General features: G+C 48.8%; 1 long non-coding RNA gene and 1 pseudogene across 1 annotated transcript, besides 6 other annotated features; both read right to left on the bottom strand.

The window, feature by feature from the left end:
- Nucleotides 1–451: 451 nt before the first annotated feature.
- Nucleotides 452–3,681, bottom strand: LINC02076 (long intergenic non-protein coding RNA 2076). The gene is made up of 2 exons (NR_104343.1): nt 2,042–3,681; nt 452–690 (listed from the first exon to the last, which is right to left on the bottom strand). It is a non-coding gene; the product is annotated as a long intergenic non-protein coding RNA 2076 (long non-coding RNA).
- Nucleotides 800–1,623: an enhancer, noted in NCBI's record as "H3K27ac hESC enhancer chr17:18316531-18317354 (GRCh37/hg19 assembly coordinates)". NCBI's record gives its function as "activates a minimal SCP1, AML or CMV promoter by ChIP-STARR-seq in primed H9 embryonic stem cells {active_cell/tissue: H9 hESC(primed)}" and the evidence as "EXISTENCE:reporter gene assay evidence [ECO:0000049][PMID:30033119]".
- Nucleotides 1,624–2,448: an enhancer, noted in NCBI's record as "H3K27ac hESC enhancer chr17:18315706-18316530 (GRCh37/hg19 assembly coordinates)". NCBI's record gives its function as "activates a minimal SCP1, AML or CMV promoter by ChIP-STARR-seq in primed H9 embryonic stem cells {active_cell/tissue: H9 hESC(primed)}" and the evidence as "EXISTENCE:reporter gene assay evidence [ECO:0000049][PMID:30033119]".
- Nucleotides 5,773–5,862: an enhancer, noted in NCBI's record as "active region_11838". NCBI's record gives its function as "activates an Ori minimal core promoter by ATAC-STARR-seq in GM12878 lymphoblastoid cells {active_cell/tissue: GM12878}" and the evidence as "EXISTENCE:reporter gene assay evidence [ECO:0000049][PMID:35858748]".
- On the bottom strand, nt 13,880–19,761 carry TBC1D3P4 (TBC1 domain family member 3 pseudogene 4; annotated as a pseudogene).
- Nucleotides 14,133–14,633: an enhancer, noted in NCBI's record as "H3K27ac hESC enhancer chr17:18303521-18304021 (GRCh37/hg19 assembly coordinates)". NCBI's record gives its function as "activates a minimal SCP1, AML or CMV promoter by ChIP-STARR-seq in primed H9 embryonic stem cells {active_cell/tissue: H9 hESC(primed)}" and the evidence as "EXISTENCE:reporter gene assay evidence [ECO:0000049][PMID:30033119]".
- Nucleotides 14,634–15,134: an enhancer, noted in NCBI's record as "H3K27ac hESC enhancer chr17:18303020-18303520 (GRCh37/hg19 assembly coordinates)". NCBI's record gives its function as "activates a minimal SCP1, AML or CMV promoter by ChIP-STARR-seq in primed H9 embryonic stem cells {active_cell/tissue: H9 hESC(primed)}" and the evidence as "EXISTENCE:reporter gene assay evidence [ECO:0000049][PMID:30033119]".
- Nucleotides 15,289–15,789: an enhancer, noted in NCBI's record as "H3K4me1 hESC enhancer chr17:18302365-18302865 (GRCh37/hg19 assembly coordinates)". NCBI's record gives its function as "activates a minimal SCP1, AML or CMV promoter by ChIP-STARR-seq in naive H9 embryonic stem cells {active_cell/tissue: H9 hESC(naive)}" and the evidence as "EXISTENCE:reporter gene assay evidence [ECO:0000049][PMID:30033119]".

Here is a 24,314-nt window from a genome sequence, read left to right as displayed (position 1 = left end):
TTCACATTTAAGAAACAACTTAGATATATAAATAAAAAATTTGTTGTGCAATAAAATTACAGTGCAAGACGAACCATAATCTGTACAAAGAATTAAAACCTAAATATGTCAACGGATCGTAAGTATCAAGTGACAACAAATGAATAGATTAATTTTTATAGGGCTCATGACCTCTGCTTATTACCTTTAAATGACTGCAAAAGATAAAATAACTCTTTTGGCAGGTTAATATTTGGATTTTATCGATCATAATCACTTATGCCATGGGTCCCAAAAAATGTTCCGGGCTGCATATATGTTCTGCATATGAATCTTGGAAGAATACTCATTTACTGTCAACAGTAGTTGTTTTAAAAAGTAAAATGACATTTTATGCAGAATTTTCTTCTTTTCCCTTAGCATGCTGTGTTAGTTTCCTAAGGCTAGGAACAGAACAAATGACTACAAACCGTGGGGCTTAAGACGACAGAAATTTATTTTTTCACCATTCACGAGGCCAGAAATTCAAAAAGGAGGTGTGAGTATGATTGATTTCTTTGAGAGGCTTTCAGGTAAAATCTCCTTCTTAGCTTCTGGTGGTTTCCAGCTGTCCTTGGCATTCCGTGACTGTAGGCAGCGTAACTCCAGACTCTGCCTCCCTTGTCCCATGGCCGTCTTCCCTGTAGGTCTCTGTATGTTCCCATGACCTTCCTGAAAGGACACAGCCATTGGCTTTACAGCCCACCCTAATGCATTGTGACCTTGTCTTAACCAAGTGTTATCTGCAGAGACCCTGTTTCCAAATAGTTTAACATTCCTGGGTTCCAGCTGGACATGACTTTCTGCGGGACACTATTCAACATGGGAAACATGCGTGTATTTTTTAGAACATAATGAGTTCTGCCTCTGTTATAAAGCCCCCTTTCTTTTCATTAGTGTTGATTATTATAAAATAGCATGGAGAGTTGACAGAGCTCTAAGTAGTTTTGTACAGCCACAGCATGGGAAACAAATGGGGGAGTGGGAAGAAATAAGATTTGATAAATAGTTCAGGGCAACATGATAGAAGGGCATGTACATCATGCTAAAAAAAAGTGATTGCTTTTTGTGGCAAGGAAGAACAATAAAAATTTAGAAATATTTATTAGGTGTCTATTCTGTGTTAATAATGTACAAATACATTCTGGGGATAATGAGCTGAAAAAGGTATATGGCTTCATGTGTATCACAGTGCAACAAGAAACCAATTCCTGAGACAGAAACAATTGGTAAAGGAGCACATTTGGTCATGCCTGTAATCCCAGCACTTTGGGAGGCCAAGGCGGGCGGATCACGAGGTCAGGAGATCGAGACCAGCCTGGCAACATGGCGAAACCCCGTCTCTACTAAAAAAATACAAAAAATTAGCCGGGCGTGGTGGCGGGCGCCTATAGTCCCAGCTACTAGGGGGGCTGAGGCAGGAGAATGGCGTGAACCTGGGAGGTGGAGCTTGCAGTGAGCTGAGATCTTGCCACTGAACTCCAGCCTGGGCAACAGAGAGAGATTCCGTCTCAAAAAACAACAACAACAACAACAACAAAAACCAGGAGCATATTTGGGTTTCTCAAGCTTGAAGTTGAAAAAAATTAGGTGGAAAACAGGTCTAGCCACGCTGAAATGTTCCTAGTGTAAACAAAGTAAAAGGAAAATCTCCTGATATCTCAATGGGAAAGCATGAAGAGATGACAGGAAATAGGTTCAGAGCTTTGCAACATTGTAAAGTGTTACCAGCGTTAACAATGTTCTTAGAAGAAAGAAAAACATTGGAAAATAAAAAGAGAAAGGTGGTTGGAGGTATAAAAAGGAGATGGAGGAAGAAAAGAATATACCAACTGGAAGAGCAAAAGTTGAAAACACACAAACTTATGAGAACATTTTAACTTTAACTGAGGAATGTTCAGTGACACAATAGAGCTCTCCCCATCTCTTCTCCCTTTCTCGGTGCTCTTTTTCCCCCACTATCTTCTTCCCCTCGCCCTCTCCCCGCTGTAGTTTGTTCTTCTTTTTTGAGATGGAGTCTCACTCTGTCATCCAGGCTGGAGTGCAATGGTGAGTTCTCAGCTCACTGCAACCTCCGCCTCCGGGGTTCAAGCGATTCTCCTGCCTCAGGCGCTGGAGTAGCTGGATTACAGGCGCTCGCCATCACGCCCAGCTAATTTTTGTATTTTTAGTAGAGACTGGGTTTCAGCATGTTGGTCAGGCAGGTCTCGAACTCCTGACCTTGTGATCCGCCCGCATCAGCCTCCCAAAGTGCTGGGATTACAGGCGTGAGCCACCGCGCCCGGCCTTGTCCTCATCGTCTTCTTTTCCACCCTCCTTTCTCCTCACCGTTTTCCTCCACTGTCTTCTCTACCACACTGTCTTCTCCCTGCACTTTCTCCCCACTGTCTTCTTCCCCACCTTTCTCCCCATCCCACTTTCCAAGGTCTTTCCCACCCTCTCCGTCCCCTCCTCCCCCTCTCCCCGCAGTCTTCCGGGCCCCACTGCCTTTCGCCCGCAGCCAACACTGTTCAGTTCTGAGGTAGCGGCGGGGGCGGGGGCGGCGGCAGCCGTGATGGCCCTGGCAGCGACTCTCCTGGGTCTCCTGTTGGCTGTTGGGGCGGAGCTCAGGGGCCCAGCTCATGGGGCTGGCTGGGCGCACAGACACACCAGGCGCAGGGACACAGGCGGGCGCACGCGTGGAGCGCTTCTAGGTGAAAGGCAGTTGGAGAGCGCGAGAAGGGGGTGGGCAAGAAGACGATCGGGGGCGAAGACGGTGGGGAGTGGAAGAGGGGAGAAGAGGGTGCGGGGAGAGAAAAACGCGGCAGGAAGTCGCTGCTGCGAGAAGGTGGGGAGGGGAAGAAGATGGCGGAGAATAAGAGGCTGGGGAAAAAAGACGATGGGAGGGGGAGAGAAGAAAGTGGGAAGAAGATTGCGACTGACAGACGCTGCTGCGAGACGGTGGGAGGACATGGGAAGAAAACGGTGTGAGGGGAAGAAAACGGGGGAGAAAACGGTTGTGGGGAAGGCGCGGGGAGAAGACAGTGAGGAGAAGAGGGCGTGGGGAGAGGACGGTGGGGAAGAGGAAGAGAAGATGGTGAGGGGAGAGAAAAGCGCGGCAGGAAGACGCTGCTGCGAGAAGAAGGTGGGGATATGGAGGCGGCAAGAAAATGGAGAAGAGGCTGGGAAAGAAGACGATTGGGAGAGGAGAAGAGGGTGGGAAGAAGGCGATGGGGAGAGGAGAAGAGGGTGGGAAGAAGGCGATGGGGAGAGGAGAAGAGGGTGGGAAGAAGACTAAGGCAGACATGGGAAGAAAAGGGTGCGGGATGAGGAAGAAAACGGTTGGCGGTAATAGGCCGGGAGAAGACGGTGAGGAGGGGGAGGGGAGAAGAGGGAGCGGCGGGAAGACGCTGCTGGGGGAATAGGCGGGAAGGTGGAGACTGGAAGCCAGCGGGTGGAGAGAAGGAGATGGAAGGAAAAGCTGCCGCCACAGGAACCCGTGCTGCGAGGAATGGGAGAGACTGAGGGGAAGAAAACGGTGGGGAAGGGGAAAAAAAAACTGCGGGGGAGAAGAAGGTGCGGGAAGAAGACAGTAGGGAGACGGCAGAAGAGGATGCGGGAAGACCGCAGTGGGGAAGAAGGAGGGGAGAAGACGGAGAGGGGAGAAAAAGGTGGGAAGACGTTGGGAAAGGAGAAGGGTCGGGAAGGAGAGGGGAGGGAAAGAGCAGAAGGTGGGGAAGAAGACTGGAAAAGGGGTGAAGGGAAGAAAAGGATGGGGAGGGAGGAGGGAAGAGGGTTGGGGGGAAGAAGAAGGGAGTGGAAAGCGGCGAAGACGACCTTGGGGAAAGAGATGGAGAGGGGAAAAAGATTGGTGGGAGAGAAGAGGATGAGGCAGGGAACGAGGTGGGGAGGGGAAGAGAAAGGCAGAAAGACGGGCTGAGAAGAGTGCTGGGAGAAGAAGGGGGAGCGGAGGGAGGGAGAAGGGAAGCGGGGAAAGACGATGGGAGAAGGTGGGGGGGGAGAAGAAGGCAGTGTGGGAGAAGAGTTGAGGGAAAAAGAAACAATAGTGATGCTAATGTTAAACGTCGTCGTCTTGGAGCAAAAGAAGCAAGTGCTGCTTTAGACTCCCGGCCTAACTTTGTTCAATAAATCCCCACTTCCAAATATCTTGTGATTGCAGTGTGGGTCATTTTTAGTACTTAGATCCAGAGCAGTCTCTGATTGTTAGTGACAGTGCTGTCAAATTGCATGCTGTTCACCAGCTATAAACGAAAACATCACATTTCCTTGAAGTGCACTTTAACGTGTAATTCAAAGACTTTTCCAAGAGGCTTACTGGGGAAAAATAGAGGTGTGTACCTTTGGCATTGGACATGGAGTCTCTGATTTTAGATTGTAGTTGTTTCCCCAAATCTTTAAGATTGTGGCAGAAACATGATTGTGACTACGGCATTCATTTTGTAGGGCAGTGCGTGTTATTTTAACAAAGGGTAAACTGATATGCCTATAAGAAAATGTAATTCAATTTAATTCACTCATACAAATTTAGGTTTCCTTAATATAAAAAAACCCAAAAACAGTTAAATTGCCTTAGTCTTTTAACATAACTTCATGCTTAGAGTCAAGAGAATTTGTAAATGCAATCCTGTAATGCTGGTGTTGCGTTATGCCTATATAAAATACATGTTAAACCTAAATGTTGCTTTTTTATTTGGCATTATGGAACTTCATAGAAGTTTATGTGTATTAATACAAGTGAACTTGACATAAATTAATTGGTGAATGATAACTTATTGCTTGTAAAATAAGCAGTTAAATGTAAGGATGTAAATACATTTTATATTACCCTATAGTTTATTTTAAATATTTTCTTCTTTTGTATTCTAGTTTAAAATCCTGGAATACTTACTGATATCTTATTTCCCCATGAAAAGGCTTCCGCTAACTATACTGTATTTCCAAGCAAATGTCTGTACCAGAACATCAAGTGTAGAAATTAAGCAAAATCTGTCTTTCAGGACAGGTGCAGTGGGTCGCACCTGGAATCCTAGCACTTTGGGAGCCCAAGGCAGGTGGGTGGCTTGAACTCAGGAGTCCCATACCAGCCCGGGCAACATGGTGAAACCCTGCCTGTACAAAAATAAACAAATTAGCCGGGCATGGTGGTGCACATCTTGTATTTTATTCAATCAAATTGAAGGCTTCATTTACCCTTGGAAAAGAAAATGATTTAATGTACTCATATAGAAAATAATTAACCTCATGCCCAGAACGGGTTCACTTACAGGACACGTTCATTTATTCTGTCAGACAGTGGGTTAAATGTGTCTGAGCACCGCCTATGAGTCAGGAACACAAGTCAGTATCCGCACTGAATATTACCCAAGCTTTTTCCATCTGTTATATAGAGTAGCATAGATAACTTCATGGACATCATCTCTTTAATTTGTTGTGGAATACTTAACATGACCTCCTCGTATATAATTATCAGTGCTGTTCTTAAATAGATGTTATCATCTGGATATTTACTAGACTTAAAACAATGACTTACTGCAGAAATGTCATCCATATCTAATGTGTACTATGCTAACTAAGTCTCACATGGTGGTTTTGGTTTTAAATAAGCTCTTGGAAATCAGGCGGTTTGCGTTTTGTTTTCATCTTATTGTACTATGAAGTAAAGTCAATAAAGATTCTGGAAACACAGTTGTGAAAAGGTCCATTGTTAGGTCCCTCCATGCAAGCTTTGGGTATTTGACACACCATCAGGCATAGGCAGCCTTTGCAACATTAAAACAGGAAGTTGCAATTTGGGTCATCCTCAGTCACTGACAGTCTATGTGCAAATTTAACGGCATGGCCACTCTATATACACATAGGACAGGTTTGGATTGGCTTTTTAAAACAAATTATATCATTTTGCCAAAAAAAAGATATGCATGGTAATAACTGCAAGTTACCATGCTTTCTTAAGAAAGAATATCTGGAAAATATATATGAAAACAAACTACATTTGCCTTTTTAAAAACATTCTATGTTATTGTGGAAGCAAAGTCACAGAAAAAAATGGTTAGAGAAAATCTGAATCAGCATGAAATAAAATATTTTGAGGGTTATTGAACACTGTTCATTTTCATGAAAATAGGACAAGTTCATTTAGCACAGCTATTTCTGTAATTGTGATACATTAGCAAAATTAGCTGTGTTCTGCGGTGCTCGAACTTGCTCTGTGTATGAAATGGCGTACCGTTAATACAAGGAAATTTGTTGTGAAACACATACTGTAGAATTAAGTTCAAAATCTCTCTGTGCTTAAATCACTTAATTTTGTTAAATAAAACTTGGTTTCCAACATTGTTTTTTTTTCTCCAGAAAAGCACAATCTGCTAAATTCTTAACCAAGTGGAAAAGAAAATATTCAAGAAAAATAAAGCAATTGTGCATGTCACACTATAGTTGAAAGTGTTCTGATACTGAAGCTATGTCCAGTATTTTAAGCTGCTTTTATGCACCGTGATTACTTCTACATTAATCTCAGAAGATTCTAGATGGAAATTCAAACGGGCCCAGCCAATTAAATGTGACTCTCTGAGAGAATCCTAGTGATACTTACTGACTTTTCCGTTTTCTGATCATTGATCAGATGGTTACAGATGCATGAAAGATACATGATTTTTAAAAACAAGATGTTATTTAAAATACCAGTGTTCAGTGCTTGCATTTGCAAGAACATAAATATTAGATGATACTGAGAACATTCCTTAATAATCAGCAAAGGTAAAATGTTGTTGTTCTGATTTTGAAAAAAGTGAAGAGGGTTACCATGAAATTATTAATTTTTTTTTTTTTTTTTTCTGAGACATAGTCTTGCTCTGTTGCCCAGGCTGGAGTGCAGTGGCGCGATCTCAGCTCACTGCAAGCTCCGCCTGCTAGGTTCACACCATTCTCCTGCCTCAGCCTCCAAAGTAGCTAGGACTACAGGCGCCCGCCACCACACCCGGCTAATTTTTTGTATTTTTAGTAGAGACGGGGTTTCACCGTGGTCTCGATCTCCTGACCTCATGATCCGCCCAACTCAGCCTCCCAAAGTGCTGGATTACAGGCATGAGCCACTGCGTCTGGCTGAAATTATTAATATTTTACTTACATTTTTTACCAAATAACTGAATTCTAAAGTAGAATTGCTGAAGTCACTGGAGTTTGATACTTCAGGATTGATGGTTTTGGTTAAATTCTTAAAAAAAGTCAAACTATAACTATATGGTATAAACAAATATGTTCATTTGTTTAATAGAAATTAAATATATATACATACAACATTCTTAGGTCAAATAGTCAATTGAATGGTTAACAAAACTACTTCCCAGTCAATTGCTTTGTCATTGTTAAGATAAATCTTCAAAGAATTTGGATTTTTTAAAAATAAGATTTGACTTGTAACTAACATAAGTATGAATTTGATAGTTATATTTTGATTTGTCAGAAATCTGAATGATTATAGAAAATTGTTTCAGTATGTCAAATTAGTTCCATGGCACCCGTGGTTATGTAACTGTTGGTACCTGTGGGGAGGGGTCCTTTTTTTCTTAATTCTCAAGCCCATAAGCAATCATTGACAATACTCAATTCTGATTCCTTTTCTTGGGGCCACATAAAGTTTTATCCCTGTCTCTATTTCTAGAAATATCTAGAAAACCTTCCTATCATGAGAGAGTCTTTTGCCAGACAATATAATAGTTTTTCAGGAGTGCAACTGCTTGGATAGATATTTTCAGTTTGGAGTTGTCAAATCATGTTCTATCATCTCAACTATTCCATATGCCAGCAGTGTTTTGGGATTGTGACACAACATTTCATTTTTCATTTTATTCACTTGGAAAAAATCAAATAATAACTATGCTGTTGCCTTAGGAATCAGAGGTATTTGCTGTTTGATACAGAGTAGGAACATTGCAATTACCTCAAGAAAATGATGACATTCTTCTAGACTGAAAAATGCACGTGTCCTTGACCAAATAACAACTCTCTTTCTTGTACAGATGGCCCAGACACTCAGAAACTGCCTATTCAGAACATGGCACATCATAGAGATGAATTTTTAATAATTTTATTTGCCCATGTTTTCTGATGGTTCTATTTCACTGTGAACGCTCAGTACCAACAATTAATAACAGGTAATTTGGAGGCTGGTGTTTACAACTGATTGATCACACCGGTTACAGATTTCTTTGTTCCTTCTCCAATTCAGTCTACGCTGTGACAAAAAATAAGACATTTATAAATATAAACATTTTATTTGCAGTGTAGCATACATTCAAATTAGGTGGTTGTGTAGACATTTTGACAAATAGTGCCATTTCTCTTTTAACACATAGGTCCTTAGTAAGCACTGCTTTCTAACACCAGTTTAAGATAGTTCTTAATTCTTTTCATCTAACGTTACAATATAAAAGTTTCAAGAATGGCGCAAAGAAAAAATTATTTGTCAAAACAATATTATCAGACATAATCAAGAACATTTTTATAAGATAATTTTGTGAGGTCAACAACAAAACAACACAAGTGAGAGAAAATTTCAAATACCATTTTTTATGATGAATAAATGTCAGACTTTTGCTTCTGATAAAGACAGATTAGATATCCGAGAATAATTTAAATTAGGTTTTGTATGTAAAATAACATTTTAAAACAAATCAGGTCCTGGCACAGTGGCTCACGCCTATAATCCCAGCACTTTGGGAGGCCGAGGTGGGTGGATCACTTGAGGTCAGGAGGTTGAGACCAGCCTGGCTAACGTGGCGAAACCCCGTGTCTACTAAAAATACAAAAATTAGTAGTGGCGTGCGCCTGTAGTCACGGCTACTCGGGAAGCTGAGGCAGGAGAATCCCTTGATTCTCAGAGGCGGACGTTGCAGTCAGCCGAGATTGTGCCACTGCACTCCAGCCTGGGTGACAGAGCAAGACTCCATCACAAAAAAATAAAAATAAAATAAATAAATGAATAAAATAAATAAGAGGTAATAATTTATTATTATTTTTTAACACTAACTGAGTTAATGCACAGCTAAGAATTGTCAGGCTAAGATTTGGAGAGAAACAGCATTTAGAGAAATAAGAGCTGCTTTGCCCTGGAGCCATTTATTACTTCAGATGGGATATCTACCAGGTTGTGTTAAACCTCTGCTAGTCTTGCAGAGGCTCCCAGTTTGGTCATGGATATCAAAAGCTGCTGGTACATTAAAGCAGTGAGAAGGAACCAGAATTCACCCAGTCACCACAGCAGGCTGGCTGCTCTCCAACTGAGTGCCCAAAAAGGTTCCAACTCCAAATTTTTATGAAAGTAATTCAGAATTTGACTGTCCTTATACTTCTGGCATGAGCAAATAGCAATCATTTGAGAAAGAAAACATTAGTTGGGCCTCTAAAGACAGACAAAACCAGTTGTTCACCCACTATATTTTGTACATTTGCTCAAAGATGTGAGGGTCAATGAAGAAAAAAGACACTGTGAGAAGGAATAAACAGATGCCAAGGAAAAAGAAAAAAATGTGTCAAAGCAACTAGAATTAGTATATTCAAAGGCATGAGGTCAAGTTTGGAAACTTCAACAAGAAAGTGGAAACTATGAAATTGACAGGTTAGGGTAAATAAAAACACACAAAAATTCTAATACTAAAAAGTGTGAGGAAGAAAAAGGTGACTCAATAAATGAGTTTAACAGCAAATGAGGCTGGGTGCCGTGGCTCATGCCTGTAATCCCAGCACTTTGGGAGGCCGAGGAGGGTGGATCACAAGGTCAGGAGATCGAGACCATCCTGGCTACACAGTGAAACCCTGTCTCTACGAAAAATACAAAAAATTAGCCAGGCATGGTGGTGGACAACTTTAGTCCCAGCTACTCCGGAGGCTGAGGCAGGAGAATGTCGTGAACCTGGGAGGTGGAGCTTGCAGTGAGCCGAGATCTCGCCACTGCACTGAAAAAAAAAAAACAAAAAAAAAACAAACCTTTTGTGAATCCAAGCATCTCTTACAGGTCTACTGCTTCCACCCCTTCCCATCTGTCATCTCAGGTCTCGATTAGTAGCCTGTCCTTCTAGATGCTTTTTACTCCTTCTATTGTTCCTTTTGTCTTTCCATGAAGCCATCTAGCCGATTTTTCAAAAATATCATTTAAAATGTCACCCTTTGGCTCAAATTCTTTGAATGAGGGCAAAACTCTTTTCTTTTTTTAAAAAAAAATTTAACTTTTAAGGTCAGGGTACATACGCAGGCTTGTTCCATAGGTACACTTGTGTCATGGGGGTTGTTGTATAGATTCTTTCATCATCCAGGTATTAAGCCTAGTACCCACTATTTTTTTTTTCTGCTCTTCTCCCTCCTCCCACCCTCCACCCTTCGAAAGGCCCCAGTGTTTGTCATTCCCCTCTATGTGTCCATGTGTTCTCATCATTTAGCTCCCACTTATAAGCTTGCTAAGGATAGTGGCCTCCAGCTCCATCCATGTCCCTGCAGAGGACACGATCTCATTCTTTTTTATGTCTGCATAGTACCCCATGGTGTATGGTGTGTATATACCACATTTTCTTTATCCAGCCTATCGTTGATGGGTATTTGGGTTGATTCCATGTCTTTGCTATTGTGACTAGTGCTGGAATGAACATACACATGCATATGTCTTTATAATAAAATGATTTATATTCCTTTGGGTATACACCCAGTAATGGGATTGCTTCATTGAATGGTATTTCAGTCTTGGGTCTTTGAGGAATTGCCACTGTCTTCCACAATGGCTGAATTAATTTACACTCCCACCAACAGTGCCTAAGTGTTCCCTTTTTCTCCACAACCTTGCCAGCATCTGTTATTTTTTGACTTTTTAGTAATAGCCATTCTGACTAGTGTGAGGTGGTAGCTCGTTGTGGTTTTGATTTGCATTTCTCTAATGATCAGTGATGTTGAACGTCTTTTCAAAAGAAAACTCATTTTTCTTGCACTGTTGAGCTGATTGCCATCAGTTCCAAACCTCCCCCCTTTACCTTGCTTGCCGGCTTTGCCTTTTCTGTGGCACGGTGTGAAACTTCATCTGCAGCATCTGCTAAAGGGACGCTGGAGAAGGTTGGGGCTCTTTCTAGTTCTGAGTGCTCCTCTTACCTTGCTCTTGTGGGGGACAGCAGCCAACCCTGGCCATCACCTCTCTGGGGACAGAGCAGGTCACAAGCAGCACTTAGGGGAGCAGTTTTCCAGTGTTTTGTCAGTGTAGAAACTCAGCAAAATTCTCTGCTCTCTAGCAGGCTACATCCTCACCCTCTCCAAGGAGGTCTAGCACTCACTTCTGGTGTGTGTGGGAGATTCTTCCAGATTTGTTTCTTCCTGCAGTGCTTGCCTAAAGCTCTGGAGAGCACACTGGCAGCTCCGTGAATTTGCTGTCCCTATTTTGTGTGTGTGTTTGCTTTGCCTTTCCTAAGCTTGTCCAACCCACAGCCTAGGGCTGCTTTGAATGAGGCCCAACACAAATTTGTAAACTTCCTTAAAACGCTATGAGATTTTTGGCTGGGTGCCAGCGGTTCATGCCTATAATCCCAGCACTTTGGGAGGCCGAGGCAGGCAGAGCACTTGAGTTCAGGAGTTCAAGACCAGCCTGGCCAACATGGTGAAAACCCGTCTCTCTACTAAAAGTACAAAAATTAGCCAGGTGTGGTGGCACATGCCTGTAATCCCACCTACTCAGGAGGCTGAGGCACAAGAATTGATTGAGTCTGGAGGCAGAGGTTGCAGTGAGCCGAGATCATGCCACTACACTCCAGCCTGGGTGACAGAGTTAAGACTCTGTCCAAAAAAACAAAACAACAGGCTGGGTGCAGTGGCTCACACCTGTAATCCCAGAACTTTGGGAGGCCGAGCCAAGCAGATCATGAGATCAAGAGATCGAGACCATGCTGGCCAACATGGTGAAACCTCATCTCTACTAAAAATACAAAAATTAGCTGGGTGTGTGCCTGTAGTTCCAGCTACTCGGGAGGCTGAAGCAGGAGAATTGCTTAAACCCAGGAAGCAGAGGTTGCCATGAGTCGAGATGGTGCCACTGCACTCCAGTCTGGCAACAGGGCGAGACTCCGTATCAAAAAAAATCCCAAAAAACAAAAACCAAACCAAACAACAACAACAAAAACCCAAAACAAACAGAAAAACACTATGAGGTTTTTTTGTGATTTTTTTTTTTAGCTTATTGGCCATCTATTAGTGTTCATGTATTTTATGTATGGCCCGAGACAATTCTTCCAATGTGGCCCAGGGAAGCCAAAAGATTGGACACCCCTGCTTTAAGAGAGATTTCCCTGAAATAGTTAAGTTATTTACTTTCAATTTTCCTTATTCAAATTACTGTGCAGTTTCAGCCTCCTGGTTGGACAGTAACTGACCACAATGTCTCCCAAGGCCTGGCATTATTTAGCTCCTGGCATTGCTCTGAAACTGTCGTCTACCATCCTCCCGTTGTGCACTTTGCTCTGGCCTCACTGATGGGCACGTTCTTCCCAGAACATCCTCCTACTTAACTTTGTCTCACTTTTTGCCTAGAATCTTCTTCTTGCTATTCAAATGTCTCATTACCAGAATTTTCCACATATGATGTAAAATGTGCTTCTAATACAACACTTTCTCTCTACTTTAGCCTACTTCATTTTTCATAAAAGTTCTTGTCACCACATGACGTTACAGTCATTTATTTCCTGGCTCTCTGACTCCTCTCATTGGAAAGTTATGCCCTTGACAGCACACACAGTCTGTTTTCTTCCTGGTTAATCCTTGTGCCTGCACCTCTGTATAGCCTAGCACGTGGTAGACAATGAAACGACTGAATGAATTAATGAACAAATGAAGTAGTGTACTTCCTAGATGAGAAAACTGAGACTCAAAAGTGATAAGTACCAAATCAGTATAACATAAAAGTTAGGAGTTTAAGCTCTTTGGGGAGAAATGTGGGTTTAAATGTGGGTTTTGCTACATCCTACTAGTGTAACTTATATATATTTCTTAAATTCTCTGTGCCTCATTTTCCTTATCTGAAAAATGTGGATTATAATGGTAACTACTTTATACTGGGCTATATAGAGTAAATTATGTATATAATATGCCTAGTACAGCGCTTGACACAAATTAACAATTCCACATATTTAGTTACTTGTACAATTATCTGTAGCTGCAAAACTATAAATGCAGGTTTGTCATCTTTCTGGGGAGATAGCAAGAGAAAGGTTAAGTTTATAAAATGCCTAAATAATAAAAACTATATTATCAAAGTAAAATGCCTAAACGAGGGCTGGTTTTAATATCAACTAATTAGTAGCTGCCTAATAGTAAGAACTGACTCTAAAATCAAGTAGACAAGAAAATGGTCCTGCCTGTGCCCTCTCCCTGAATGCCCTGTGGGTCAGGGACACCCAATTCCCTTGTCTCCCTTGCTCAAGGCTTGTTGTCCTGGCAACCTTGGAGGAGGTGCAGGAGTGAGGGGCCTCTGCTGCTCTCTGAGGCTGTGGGTGCTTGTAGGGAGGGGGGGGTCTCCCACAAATGGGCCTGGCTCCTCTAGTAACTTTGAGGGCCCTGTGAGGGGCAGAGCGAGACACCGTGGAAAGTGGGAGGGGGCTTGTTGGAGGGTCTTGCCCACATCCCCCTCCTGCGTGCACAACATGTCCAGTATACACACACTGAGCGCCTGCCCTGAGGACTGGTGGGCCTCCTGTACTTTCTTAGAGTCCAGGAGGAAGAGAAGGAAGAAAAGGTGAAGAGGAAGGCCCAGGTAGTAGGGTTGCTGGTCCGGGGCACTCGCCCACTATTGACTGCCCCAGAGGGTGACATGGGAGGGGACATGGCACTGGAGCCCACTTGGGGGTGGCAGGTCCCCTTGCTTCCTTGTTAGTTTCTTCGTAGAGGCCCTAAGATGCTTGAGCACAGTGTCATCGTCCGTGGCCCAGGTATGGAAGAACTGGTTCCGAAAACATGCCAAAAGGCCAGACCTGGATGTCTTCATGAGGCGCTCTAGGGACAGGGTGGATATCAGGCCAGGACAGTTACCTGGGAATGGTCACAGCTCATACCCCGTGGCCACTTCAGTCTCCCACTGGGCCGTGCCGGATCCTTTTGTGGCCACCCCAGGCGTCCAGATGTACACAGGAGACTGTGGCTGGGGGGTGATCTGGACAGGGAAGTGCTCACCACACTCCTGACCTTCATCTGGGTCATGTGAGGGATGGGCTCGGCATCACAGTGCCCTTCCCAGCCCACCTGGCCAGACCTCCCTCTGGGCCAGAACAGAGGATCATGAGGACAGTGTGAGGAAGCTGCCCTTGGGCCAGTCGGGTCTGACCGCAGGGCTCCCCAGGCCCCACTGGGTACACATAGACTTACTCTTCTGAACCTTAAAAGCAATGCTTCTGATCGGCATCAACACCTGTCCTTCCAGCAAATACATGTCCCACAAGCGCAGGGTGAGCCCGAGAGAGATCTGTGGGGACAGCAGGTGTGAGACAACCTGGCCCTTCCAGGCTGGGGCTGGTGGCTCAAGCTGCACACATTGGGGCTTCAGTCTCCAGAGTCAGTGACCTTCCCCATGAGGGTCGCCTGAGCCATCTAGAATGGTGGGTCAGACAAGGTCTTGCAGCTCCTCATAGGGGGCACTCATTTGAGTGGGGATGTGGCTCCTGGACAGAGGGGCTTGCCCAGGGCTTGAGGCTTCCCTGAGCCCTCTCAAGTTGGGTCCTGGCCCAGTCTGCCCATGAGGCTGGGCCTGAGCCCCAGCCATTGCCCTGGGATGACCCCTCTTGGGCAGAGGGTTTTGCTTGTGTGTCCTTCGGGGACCCGCCTGAGCCTCCTGTGGGCTGGGAGTGAGCCAGACCCCCGGACTGGGGAAGCAGGGCACTGCAGGGCAAGGAGGGTCCCTGAGCCAGGGTCTCCCTATGCCTCCTTACCCCTTGAATCAACATCCGGAGAAGGCAGCCTAATGAGGAACACTGTCCGCATAGACCTTCCTTGTCCTGATGGGAGGAACAGAGGTGCTCAGGGCCCCCTGGGCTGCCCTAAAAACCTCCATCTTCCAGGGCCTCTGAAGACCCTTCCCCTAGTGCAGAACACTGGGCGGTGTCCAGAGCTCCCCACAACACTGTCCCCTTCCCACACTCTCAGTGGACACACTGACCTTTGACTTGCTCTGCGGGAGCTGGGCCCCCATCCCTGTGCCTCTGTCTCCTCCAGGGCAGGAAAGGAAACAAACTCCCAGCCCATGGAGAACCCGACGTCTCAGGTCAGGCCCTGGCTGGGACTCCGCCAGTCACCAGTCCCACGAGGGTCTCCAGTCCCCCTGCTCCTATAGCCCCACGGGAGGCAAGGCCTCTGAGAAGAGCCAAGGGGACAATAAACTCACCTGATGCCACATGGTCTTGGGTTGTGACTTGGGTACCACATGCTCCTGTTGGTCTTGGAGCCCCTGGACTGTCCCGCCATTTGGGCTGTGGAATCCTGAGAAGCCCCCAGCCCATCATGAAATCAGAGCCTTCCCCCAAGATGTGGAGCCATCAGCTGCAAGAGCTGGGCAGCTGCAGAGGCCCCCAAACCTGAAGGCCTCCCACCCTCCCATCTGGTGACCCCACCATGCGGCCTTTGCCCTGGGGAGGTAGGACAAGAACATCCCCTGGAGCCTGGCTGGAGGTTCCCCTGGAGGCCTCCTGGGCTAGGGTGCAAAAAGGGCAAGCCTGACTTTGAGGTCACAACAGAGCGGCCAGAACACGGTGGGTGCTGGGCTTCCTGGTCATCTTGTGGAAGTGGGGTTGGGCCAGGGGACACGGGATGGGGAGATGCTGCCACCTGGGCTTGGTTAGCCCATTCGTGGGCACCAAGGGCAGCAGGAGCCTGGGCAGCTGGAGGGCAGGAGGACTCTCAGGGAGGGGAGAGTCAGCTGCACAGAGTCAGAGCCGGAGGGTGTGGCTCCAGGACACAGAGGGTGGCCACGGGGAGGATGAGATGCCCTCTGCTGATGGGGATGAAAGGCATTTGACTTGGGCTGTGGGGGTCAGCTGCGGACTCCTGTGGGACCCTCAGCAGAGACGTCCTAAAGGCTCCCAACAAGCTGGCGACACAAGGATGGTGCCTTGGCTGAAAGCCGAGATCACCTGGCCACGGTGGCTGTCCCCAGATCTGGCTGCATGAGGCCCCACGGGCAGCTGTTCACCTACCCGGCAGGGAGTGCCTCTCACTGGCCAGCAGCTGCACCAGTGCCCAGAATGCATCTTCCTCAGGCAGATAAAGGAGAAACAAGGTGGCAATGTGGCTCAGGTCCCTGCAGTAGCCCACCTCCTGCAAGAGCCAGAGTCGCCATGGAAGGACATCACCTGGGAGGGCCGAGGTCACCTGGGAGGACTCATGTCATTGGAGAGGGCAGAGGTGACTGGGGAGGCTTCCTCTGAAGAGGCTTCCTCAGGATGCAAATTCATTTCATGACAAGAGCCAAGTCCATCAGGCACTTCAGCACCTTGTCCAAATTGTCTCCTGAGAGCACCGTCCTGCATGTGACACTGCCAAGCTCCCAGGCTTTGGGGCAGCCCCAGGAGGAGGGTGTCATTTCTTGTTCTGAGAAGTGCCCAGGTGACAGGCCCAGGTGACACCAGGAGTCCAGGCCCCAAGTCCTTTGTGTCTCAGCTTGACCCCTTGAGACCACCCCCTTGCTTGGAGGTTTATGCCAGCAGTGACCTGGAATCCTACCTCCTATATCCTGGTGGGTCACAAATACTAACTTTAAAAGAAGCAACGACACCCCCATCAGACACCCACTCCTGTGAATATGGAAATATGGCCCAGGAACCTCACTGCCGGGAATACTCACCGGGTTATACTCTGAATATGCCACAAGGATGTAGAATAGTTCCCGCTGCCTAGGAAACAGAGAAAGGGGGCTAGGGTTTGGTTTGTGCAGATGCTGTTAGTTTCACTTTGTCTACAAATCCTAACAACAAATCCCATTTCAGGTTCAGATGATTCACCAGATAAGCAGTGAACTTTCAGGGCCTGAGATTATTGAAGAAATGTTTCAGTAAAATCCACATCTGTGACATGCAAATAGCCCAGTTGTACAGGGAGTTGACCGATCCTTTTCACTCTGAATGATTTTTTTTTTTTTTCAGTTTGCACACACGCCAGTTCAGTCTTTGGGTGTACAGTTCCTCCACGGTTCCAAACCAGTGTGCAGAGTCTCCCGGCCACCACTCCAGCCCCTCCTGGAGTGACTCCTGATCTTTCAAATCTCCAGGGTTTCCCCTATGCACCCAGCCTCTCCCCGATCCGTCAGCCCCTGGCCACCCAGACTGCTTCTCAGTCCCTATGGTTTGGTCTTTTCCAGAATGGCCTAGGAATGGGAATCCTACTGTGGTAGCTTATTGGGTCTGGCTTCTTTCCCTTAGCAAAATGCATCTAGGATCCACCCACATTCCTGCGGGCATCACTGGCTCATTCCCTTTTCTCACTGGGTCTTCTGTTTGAAAGGAGGACCAGACTGTCTCTCCCCATTCCCGTGTTGAAGGCCATCCCAGAAGGCTTCGTGTGTGACTGATGAGGAATCAAGCAGTGAACGTGGCATGCAGGTTTCATGTGGATGTCAGTTTTCAAATCAGTGGGTTCAATATCTGTGACACCTTGGGGACGTGTGGTTCAAGTCCATTGAGCTTTGTGAGCCACTGCCCAACTGGCTGCCAACGTGGCTGTGCCATGTCATATTCCCAGCAGACCTGGATGAGAGTTTCCAGGACCCCTAATTCTCCCAGCATTTGGTGCTGTCAGTGTTGCCTGGGGAGGCTCATGGGCTCTCCATCCTGCCACCCTCCCGTGGGTCCTACCATGGGTCCCCGTGGGTCAGGGAGAGCACCTTTCACCATTATGCATGATTTTGTTTGCTGTCTTCTGTCTCCTCAGGATCCTCCTGGGTTCTGGCCCCACATGTTCCAGCCTGGCCCAGGGCTTGGAACCAGGGAGGTGCTTGGTTCATGGTGCCGGCTGCTCCCTGGGCTAGGAGAGCTCTTGGCAGCCTGTCATCCCTCCTGGGTGATCCTGGCTTCTGCTCTGGGAAAGTCCCCATCCCTCTCATTCACCCCATCTCCTCTGGGACCCTGTGGCTCTCGTAGGCTTACTTCACTCCATATCGATCCCTGAAGAAGACATGGTTCTGGAGAGTCCTGCTCACGTCCAGTTTGATCTGGTGGATGTGTTCAGAAGACCTCTTGCCCTTCTCCTTCATGATCTGTAGGGCAGGGCCAAGAGGAGGAAGCAGCCTCAGAACAGATGGAAGACTCCCTGCCCCAAATGGCAGTCAGCCCACAGTCAGCGCTTTGGGAAGGAAGGAAAGAAGGAAGGTTTCCTTGTGCAGAAAGCTGCTTTTTGGCTTGTTACTGAAGCCAGGGAGGGTCACCAGAGCCGAGTTCATCTGTGGTGACTATGTCACCGTCTGTGCCCAGGAAGTGCATCTGACCATCCCCCCCACCCCCCCAGGCTGGGCTTGACGTTCCCTCCAGCTGGAGGCCTGGGCCCCTGACACAGCCTGTCCTGTTTGTTGTGCTCTGGCTGAGCGTACCTAGTATTTTTTGGGGTGTTTTGACTTGATTTCCTGAATGTTCAGGAGGACTGACAACACCAGGCCCCGGATGTTCATGGGAATGCCCTTATAGATGCGATCTATGAGCTGTGGGCAGAAAACAATCTGGTGTCACAGGCCATGGGGTGACCCCAGTGAGGATCAGAGCCCAGGGATTCTGGAAATTTTTGGTTTTGGCCCCATGATTCCTCAGTAGAGGTGAGATCAAGCTGGGACAGGGTCTCCCTTCCCAGGACTGAAAGAGTGGATGGACACTCAGAGTTGAAACTGTGATCCGAACCTTTTTCTTCCTTCAGGTCACCAGGGCATCCCTAGCCTTGAGCTCCAGGTGGTCCCAGCCCTAGATTCAGATTCCCTCCCAGCAAGGTGACGCTTGCACGAATAGGCAGGCAATCTGACGACCAGGCCTGCAGTCTTCTGTGCAAGGACAGTGTGCCACCCGCCCTCTGAGAGGCTGACGGTGCCAGGCCACAGCCATGGGTGCCTCTCTTCTGTCTCTGCAGAGAGTACTTCCGGGGCCTCTCCCTCCACACATTACCTTTTTGCTGTTTTTATATGTCTCGCATTTGCCCAGCATTTCCAGCCACTTGCTCTTTCTTTTTTTCTCCTGCCGAATTTGCTGCCAAATGAGGAATGTTGGAGTTAGCGGAGCTGCCAGGCTTCCCAGAGCCGCCCGTGGATGCTGGGTCTTGGGCTCTGGAGCCCTGGTGGGACCCAGCTGGAAGGAGCCAGGGAAGGGCAGACCCTAAGGGCTGAGAGCCTTTGAGCAAATGAGCGCCAGTGGGCTGGCTTTGGGACCCCAGGATGTGCCATCCTTAGGCCACAGACACACCAGTCTTAGGTCCCAGCCTCTAGGTGGGTTCCTGACACAAGCGGGCAGCCACCCCCAAGCCAGGACTGTGGTTCTCACTTTGGAATTTTATCAAACTGCCAAAGTTACAGCAACTGGGGTCAGGTCTCTGCTGCCCCTCCCAGTGACAGCGTGTTGCCCTCACCCGCCACCGCCCAGGCCAGCTGCTTCCTCTGCCTCACTGACCACCCGCCCAGTCCCTACGTCCCTGGACCAGCCCCTCCATGCATCAGGCTCTTACCTTTGCCTCCCGTGCAGTCACAGGAGGCAGCTCCGTCTCACTGTAAGGCAACTCAGGCAGAGCTGAGGACCTGCACAGGGCCTGGAGCCACCCAAGCCTGGGAGCCGACCCCCAGAAAGGACTGGCACTGTCCCTATCCAGCTCAGGGCTCAGCCCCGGAGAAGTCACAGGGAAGGGAGGACAAGGACCTTCCTGTGGGGCTGACTCCCAGGAGGGGCAGGACCTGGGAGAAGGAGTGCAGGGACAGCCTGGCTGGGGTTACTGGGGCCCTGGCATGGGGGGTGGTCAGGCTGCACAATGGGGCTGCGCGTCCTGGACTCAAGGTGGTGCTTTCTGCTGGAGCTGAGAAAGGTTAGCCCTGAGATGGGATGGGGGCCACCCAGGGTGGGCGACCGGGCCCTGACAGGAGTCCCTCAGGGAGTGACCACATCACCCCGCCAGGGTCAAGGGAGCCTGCCCTGAGACCTGCCCGGTGTACTCTGGGTGCACCAGGGGCCCATCCCACTTGACAGCCCCAAGGCTCTTGCAGGTTCTGACCTCCCAGCATCCACCTGCCTCTCCCTGCATCTGAGCCACACACCCTGCATTTCAGAAGTGGCACGGCTCATCAGCTCCCTCCCACCCTACCTCCCCCGGGATCCTCTGTCTCTGCATCCTATGATCCCCGAGGGATGGGCTCCTGGCTGGGCTCCTCTTACCTGGCCCCAGATCCCTTCCCAGCACCAGACCCAGGTCTTTAGCCACAAGCCCTGCTGCCTCTCTGGTCTCACCATGAGATGCCCAGAGCGGGGCCCTGCCCGTCTTCTCCCCCATTCTCTTTGGGCCAAAGCCCCCACTGTCCCCACACCTTTCCCCCTTCCCCATGGGGACAGTGAGGGCTGTAGTTCTAGGGAAATGGGGGAGGACAGGGGCAGGTGGGCTCTGAGAGACCTGCTGGACAGCAGCCCTGAGGCTGGGCCAGGTGTCTCCTCACCCTGTGGCCACAACCCTTGGATCTCACTGGGGTTGTCTCCTGGTAGACAGGGCCAGAACCTCAGGCTGCCCCGCTCCTCTTGTGCTAACTTGCCGACAGAACTGCTGAGAGCCCAGGGGCCTGGCCTAGCCCCCTCTCCATTCCCACCGGCTCCCTAGATGGGCCTTGCACCTCTGGCCTAACAACAATCTCGGGCTGGACCTGCAGGGGAGCCAGGGAGGAGTTCTGACCCTGGAAAAGAGGTTGGCCCGACCTGGCGAGACATGTCCTGCGTCAGAAAGGCCTTTCTAAAAGCAAACCCATCCCTGAGCTGAGACAGCTGCTTTAGGGGTGAGGGGAGCACAGAGGACTCACTGCAGAATCCCAAAGCGATCAACGCTGCTGTAGATTCCAACAGGTTCAGGCCCCTTGTCCTCTGGCAGCCCAGCTCGGTGTCCCTGTAACCCAGAGGGAGCCTTGGTGAGGGGTCCAAGGTAAAGGGTGCAAGGGCCTGGGGGTATTGGCCACCTGTCCCTGCCCTGTGCTCGGAGGGAACCCAGGACCCTTTGACCAGGGCGCACAGGAAAAGGCCTCCCTCCAAGGAGCAGACCGAACTGTACCTTCTGATACTTCATAATTATGTCCTCCCGCTCCTATGCCTGCACACTATCCGCGCCCTCTACCATGTCCATCCTGTGAGACAAAGTTGTCTAAAGGTTACACTGTACCCGACAGCTTCAGAGAACCCCTGAACTGCTCCCGCTGGGCTCCCAGATGCTGGCTGGTTGTATAACCTGCATTCCACCACTGCGCTCTGGTAAAAAGGGTCCAAACCCCGTGGCCCACACATCCATGGGTCTCTGCAGTCTGAAGCCCTAAGCAGGGGTGGGCATCTTCCCAAGGACTCGAGAAGAGTGGGACCTGGACAGAGAATCCCGTTGTCCCCATATGCCATGAAACGGGCACACACCTGCCCTGGCAGGTTGAATGGTGTCCACCTGCCAAGGGTGAAGAGCCTGTGATGGGCTATTCCAGGGATGTGGATGTGAACTGCGGTCAGGCACCAGAGGTCTCTGTACGATCGGCCTCCTGGGATGCTCAGGGCCACAGAGATGCCCAGTTTCCTATGAGGAACAAGATCTCTCCTGATTGCTCCGTTCTACCCCGCTCATCACTTGGGCTACCATGGCCCTTCAGTCTAACCAGTGAAGCTGCTTTAAGAATAACGCCATTTGAGCAGGAGTGTGTTTGGTTTTGGGGATGAAAATGATCTACTGTCTCCAAAGCAGCCACTGTGCTCATGGAAACCATGTCTCTCGGGGACGGACTGTGGACTCCACCATTCTGAGCTGTCCCTACAGGAGGGGGCTTCATGTTCCTGTGTCACTGATGTAGAAGAGTGGGTCCTTGCTCCTGGAGAACATCTAGATGGACCGTCCCTCCTGATAATACTCAGGGCAAAAGGAAAGCGAGGCCAGACAGAATAAGAAATACTTGGGGAGAACCCCAGTGCCCGGACCCCTTTGAACACAAGGGAAGTTAGTCTCCCCTCAGCCAGTCCTCCAGGGCTCCTTCACTTTCCACAACTGCCCAAGGGCAGAAGCCTCCCCATGCCACTCCCAGACAAGGGACTATGTGTGTCCAGTGGGTCCCACGGTGACCATCAGGACCCAGCTTAGGCCCCAGGTGTGTTCTGAGGACCCTTCCCTCCTCCCCACCCACAGTGGATCCATTCCAGTGTCTCTGCCAGGGCCAGGCTCTGCCCCATCGGGATCGGAAATCTGGGCAGATTTGGGATCTAGAGCAGGGAGGTCTCAGGGTTGAGGCCTGAAGTCTAGCACGGCACACAGCAGGGCTGAGAGCAGAATCCAGGGTCATGTCTGATTCCCAGGCCGGTTACCGCCTCTCTGACCCCAGATGTCTCACCTGTCGAATGGGTACATTTGGGAACAGCACCCACTCTACGAAGCCACCATGAGGACGAAAGAGAAGGGTCACTGAGCAGGTTTTTTCAGCTCTGAGCAGCTCTCCTTTTTCAGCTCTTGCCGCATCTCGGACTGTCCCAATGACAGCCATAGCAAGAAGAGATAAGAAACAAGACAAGTTCATGTTGTCCAGTTTTGAGGTCTTGAAAGAAGTTGCACCAGTATGAGAATAGTGGATCAGTTTTCTCTAGGATCCAGAAAGCATATCAGGCAGCCTTGGGGTGAGGAAAGGAGCCCGGCCTCTCCAGCAGCCACACAGGCCTGCAGTAGGATGGGGTTGGGGCTGGCCATGTGGATCACTTGGGCCTCATGAGGGGAAAGGAAATACCAGGGGGCAGAGGAGGAGCATGGGGGCAGCTGGTTGCCTAAGGAGAAGGCACCTCAGGGAAGGGGACTGTATTCGTTTGTTTTCACACTGCTATAAAGAAATACCTGAGATTGGGTAATTTATAAAGGAAACAGGCTTTATTGACTTGCACTTCAGGAAACTTGCAATCACGGCAGAAGGTGAAAGGGAAGCAGGCACCTTCTTCACAAGATGGCAGGAGGGAGTGAGTGGAGAACCAGTAAGTGCCACATTTTGAAACCATCAGCTCTCCTGAGAACTACCTCACTATCCGGGGAGCAGCACGGGGGAAACTGTCCCCAAATCCAATCCCCTCCTACCAGGTTCCTCCCTTGACACAGGAGAATTACAATTCCAGATGAGATTTGGGTGGGGACACAGAGCCAAACCTGTGAGGGTCTCAGTCTATCTTGCAGCTCCCCTGGGGCTGAGGCTGAGTACAGATCTGCTGGCCTCGCCCTATAGCACGCGAGGGCTCTGCCAGTGCACCCCCATCTGCTGCTTCCTAGGGATGGTGGTGACTTCCTCAAAAGGAGCGTGGATTTGCTCTCCTGCTGCCCCTGCAGGGCCTTGTGGAGCCCCGGCCAAGTTCTCCCAGGGTAAGGGCAGGAAACAGGCCTCCTTGCCCTTCTTGCTACTTGAGTGACAACCCTGGAGTCATCCCTAGGCCCCGTCACTGCCCCTGCTTCTAAACTGAGAACATTTTGGCAAATCTTCCTGGCAGAGGCTGGGGGCTCATCCCTGCTATCTGTCCTAGCTTGGTAAAGCTGGGTTAAGACATCTGGGCAAGCAGACAGTAGAGTGGACCCCAGGAAGGGTGGGTGGAGGGCGCTGGCCTTTGGGCTTCCCTGGACCAGGGTGGGAAGGAGGAAGTTTACCAGGAAATAGAGCTCTCAGGACTATGTTTAGGAGGAGGTGGTAATGCTGGTGGGGGGATGTCCATTCATCCATCCATTCATCCATTTTCTCCCCCCACCCCCCATCTCAGACTGTCCCCATGACAGTCCTAGCAAGAAGAGACAAGAAACAAGACAAGTTCACGTTGTCCAATTTTGAGGTCTTGGAAGAAGCTGCACCAGTATGAGAATAGTGGGTCAGTTTTCTCCAGGATCCAGAAAGTATATCAGGCAGCCTTGGAGTGAGGAAAGGAGCCCGGCTTCTCCAGCAGCCACACAGGCCTGCAGTAGGATGAGGCTGGGGCTGGTTTGGGGTGGAGGATAAGTGATAGCCAAGGTTTGTCAGCATGCAGAGGGGTGGCTGACTCATGGACTAGGGGCTGCGGAGCCCAGTGGTTGCCCTTAGTTCTTGGATCCTG

Source organism: Homo sapiens, chromosome 17 (genome assembly GCF_000001405.40).
Source record: "Homo sapiens chromosome 17, GRCh38.p14 Primary Assembly".
NCBI classification, from domain to species: Eukaryota; Metazoa; Chordata; class Mammalia; order Primates; family Hominidae; genus Homo; species Homo sapiens.
Note: the sequence above shows the minus strand (reverse complement) of the source record. Positions and strands in the feature narration are given on the sequence as shown.